This window comes from Homo sapiens, chromosome 1 (genome assembly GCF_000001405.40).
Source record: "Homo sapiens chromosome 1, GRCh38.p14 Primary Assembly".
Lineage (NCBI taxonomy): Eukaryota > Metazoa > Chordata > Mammalia > Primates > Hominidae > Homo > Homo sapiens.
The window spans coordinates 159,279,043-159,283,574 of record NC_000001.11 but is presented as its reverse complement, the minus strand read 5'-3'; the positions used below and the strand labels follow the sequence as shown (position 1 = coordinate 159,283,574).

At 35.2% G+C, this 4,532-nt stretch overlaps 1 pseudogene; it reads left to right on the top strand.

Moving 5' to 3' along the window:
- Window positions 3,575-4,532, top strand: OR10J2P (olfactory receptor family 10 subfamily J member 2 pseudogene; annotated as a pseudogene).

The window sequence follows — 4,532 nt, the reverse complement described above, 5'->3', positions numbered from 1 at the left end:
GCCTTTTAAAGATCACTATCTGGAAAGTGCTTCCTTCTCCTTCCTATTGCCAAGGTCAGAAGCAGCGAGTGCTTTTGGCAGAAGTAAATGAAAATGAAACACCATGTGCATTTTTCAAAATCTTACTATTTTCCCTGTATGGTTCAGTATTTGATTGGTTATATTGAATCACATGTCCATTAATATTACATTTCTTCATGCTTGTCTTGCTGTGGTAATGGATTGAAGGACATGAAATTTAGCAGAGACGTAATAATGATCTTCAAATATTTGAAGTGTAATCATATTGAAGAGAAAATAGAAAGTGGAATGATGTGGGAGGTGGTAAGTTGCAAGCAAATAAATATTGAGTTGATAGGAATTAATATTTTCTAAGAATTAAAGTCAATCAAAATAGAAATGATGATAGTACAGCTATATTAATCTATATAATGAAATAATGTGCACCATTGGAAATAGAAAGAGTGAGATAGATCACAATACTATTATGGAAAGTAGTCAGGATATAATATATGGGAAACCCTAGTTGTGAATTGGTATGTACTGCCTAATTCCATTTGCGTAAAATTGAAATGATGTGAAAATATGCATGATTGTACATAAAATATTTCTGGACAGAAATAAACAGCAATACTAACAACAAAAACCCATGAATCATCTTTACCTCTGGCCAAGAAAATGTAGAGGAGAAAATGAACTTTTCCATTTATATCCTTCTGTACCCACGGTTTTTCCCCTATGAGCACTTTTATAATTTAAAAAGCCTGGTTTTATTTTTCAAGAAGAGTTTGTATCTTTAAAAAAAAGAGGAAATGCTTATTTACAAGGTAATGAATTTCCAATCATTGGAAGCAGTGAAGCAGAATTTGAGGGACTGTTCATGAGAAATGCTGTGCTTTTAAAATTACCACCTAACGCTAAGGTCCTATGATTCAGTTATATTCAAAGGACTGAAAACTATGAAGCACCTGGGCTTTTCTAGCTTGCTTCCAATTGGAAAGACTTGAACAATGAAATGAATAATTTTAACCTCTGGCCCAGAATTCATTGTCAGGTCTAGGCAGAAAATGATTTCTCTAGAAGAACATTTAAAAAAAAATTTAGGGGTAGAGAGATATTTTTAGCTAACAATCCAAAATACAAGGGAACAGAAAGTGTTGCAAAATGCCGTTTTTCTCAGTGACAAGGATTCCACAGAAGGAAGTTGGCATTTTGTTTCAGCTATCATGATCCTACTAATCTAGCGTTATCACTCATGAGGACCTTTGCTATCTTGGTGAGTCATTGTTTACCTAAGGGGATGATGAGAAAGGAGTTGCAATTGCAGGAATGCACAAACTTAGTGCAATCTTTTCTCTTCTGCCACCTATTTATTTTTTTCATTCTGCTTAGTGTAGGTAGGATTGACTTTCTAGTTACATAGACATTTGAGGTTTATCTTGCTCAGTAATACACCATGAATATCAGTTACATAGGAATGGTTAAGAACTGGCCCGTTCCTACATCTTCAAGGAAAATAAACACATATTTTGCTTCATATTTTTCTCAGCATTTTGAAACTAATATTTTTTGGTTCTTCAAAATCTTTAGTAAGAAAACTCTGAAATTTGCCTTCACTCAAGTACTTGCATCCCACTGTAGTAATTAACAGTCAGCATTAATACTTTCTTCCAATATGGTTTATTATTAATTTTTGCGTTAATATTTAATGTTTAAATATTTCATTAAATATTAGATTCATAATATATTAGTATGTATGTATTAAAAGTATTTATGATAGTATTTATAATAGAGAAGATATTAGATAGATAGATAGATAGATAGATGATAAACGATAGATTCTCCATGCACTATTTGAAAGACATATTTTTAGCATTTTGTTATATTTACTTTTTTAATGGCATATGTGTCATTGAATGTTTTTCCTTTCTTTTCCTTGCCTCTCTTTTCTGGTTCTTTTTATTTTTACAAACTTGCAGTCTGTAATTTATTTCTCAATCAGTCAATCAACCTACTTATATAGTGTATTTTTTCATGTCAGCACTTTGTAGATTCTTAATGGCTGCATAGCTCCCATCAGATGGATATTTTATAATTAATTCAATTATTCCTTTATTCATTTACATTGTTTCTAGACTTCACCAATAAATAATATAAAAATGTCTTTAGATATACATCCTAATATGTATCTCTGATTATTTCCTTAAAATAAATAATTGGAAGCGAAAATATCAAGCCAAGAAGAATGGACGTGGATTGTCACTAATGTAATAATATTTATTTATCTAGAGAAAGCATTCTAAGATTCTCCAGTTTTTCATTTTTTTCCCAATGTAATCTCATTCTCAAGAGCAAGAAGAAATGCATTAATTCTTTTTGATAAAAGCAACAAAAAGTATCTTCTTTCTCATTTATTTTGTGATTATGTTGCTTCTTAGGCACTTGCGGTATAGGGCAAATCACACTAGTCTTAGAATTAAAAGATCGAGTTAATTTGTGCAATCATCTAACCCTGGGTGTCTTACCAAGAGAGGGATAATAATTACCTAAAACACAGGATTGTTATGATGCTACATAATACACGTAAAAACTCTATAAACTAAAAAGTGCCATAGGAACTATTTATTATTGTTATACTTTTTTTGAAAATGAGAGATTTTTGATGCCCAATAACTCCCCAGATAGGGGACAGAGGGAGAAATGTGTAAACTCGGTTCCCTAAAGTTTAAAATTCTGAAGAAATTGTAAAAGACAGTTTACTCTACTAGTGAGGCAGAGTACCTGTGAAAATTCTCCTCTAAGTATAAGCTAGAAAATGCATAGAAATAAACACAGTCCCCGGAACCAAGCTACTGGGAAACACTTACCAACACTACGGGGAATTGGATTGACAGGTTGTATTTAGTCCTGAGAAGACTTTCTGAGGAGGAGGAGACTCAAGTCAAGCATTGAAAAAAGAGAGGAACATCTCTTGTTTTAAAAAATCTGGGGTGACAGTCAGGTTTGAAGCTGTTTGATGACTTATGAAAAGAGTTTGTGAAACAAGCAGACAGGAGCAACAGGGAGAAAGTAAACACTTATGTTATGTTGGAGCAGAGAGCATTGTCTTGTTTGGCAACCCAGAAAGAAAGATCTTTAAAGAGACAATCGAAATTGTGGTTTAAACAAAGTGGAAGAGGTTGAAAAATTTGTTTTAGGTAAACAAAATCTGAAACTGTAATATAAAAGAAAATTCCTTTCAAATTTAACTATGCATTTCCTATTTCTTTAGCCTAGTTTTTCTCTAACACTTATGTGCTAGGTCACCAAGAAATCTTTTTCAAACTTACCCCGGTGTCTTTTCTTCCATTTTTTCATCCCTATTTAGTCCCATATATATATATATACACACACACACACATTGTCATGCATGAAATTGTTTTCTTATCGTGTTTTTCTGTCTATATCTATAGGTGAACAGTCGTCCCCAATAACTTGGCATCCATCCACGAACAGAATCCTTATTATCTTCTTAGATGATTCACCTGCTCAAAGCATTGGGCACTGATGTCTTCTGACTAATTGACCTAAGTCTCTGTACTTTCAATCTGTTTATTTATCCAACGAAGAGAGAGAACCACACAGTGATAAGGGAGTTTGTTTTCCAGGGTTTCTCCAGCTTTCATGAACACAAGCTTACCCTCTTTGTGGTATTTCTTACCTTGTGTCTTTTAACCCTGGCTGGCAATGTCATAATTGTGACAATTATCAGCATTGATCGTCACCTTCACACCCCCATGTACTTCTTTGTTAGTATGCTTTCCACTTCAGAGACTGTCTACACATTAGTCATTGTACCACGGATGCTCTCCAGTCTCTTAAGTCTAAGCCAACCTATCTCTTTGGGTGGCTGTGCCACCCAGATGTTTTTTTTATTACCTTGGCCATCAACAACTGCTTTCTGCTCACAGCAATGGGGTATGATCGCTATGTGGCCATCTGTAACCCTTTGAGGTACATGATCATCATGAACAAGAAAGTGTGTGTCCAGCTGGTATGTGGGTCCTGCAGTGTTGGGCTGCTTGTGGCCATAGTTCAGATTTCATCTGTGTTCAGGCTGCCTTTTTGTGATAAACAGGTGGCCCATTATTTCTGTGATATCCACCCAGTTATGAAACTTTCCTGTGTTGATACCACTCTACATGACCTAATTAATTTTGTTGTTAGTTCCCTGGTTATTGTGGTGCCGCTGGGTTTGGTCTTCATCTCCTACATCCTCATCATCTCTACCATCCTCAAGGTCACCTCTCCTGAGGGCCGGAAAAAGGCTTTTGCAACTTGTGCCTCCCACCTCACTGTGGTTATCATCCACTATGGCTGTGCCTCCATTGCCTACCTCAAGCCCAAGTCAGAGAACACCAGGGATCAGGACCAGCTAATTTCAGTGACATACACCGTCTTTACTCCACTACTTAATCCTGTTGTGTACACTTTGAGGAACAAGGAGGTCAAGAATGCCCTTCACCGTGCTATTGGCAAAAAACCTTTTGCCT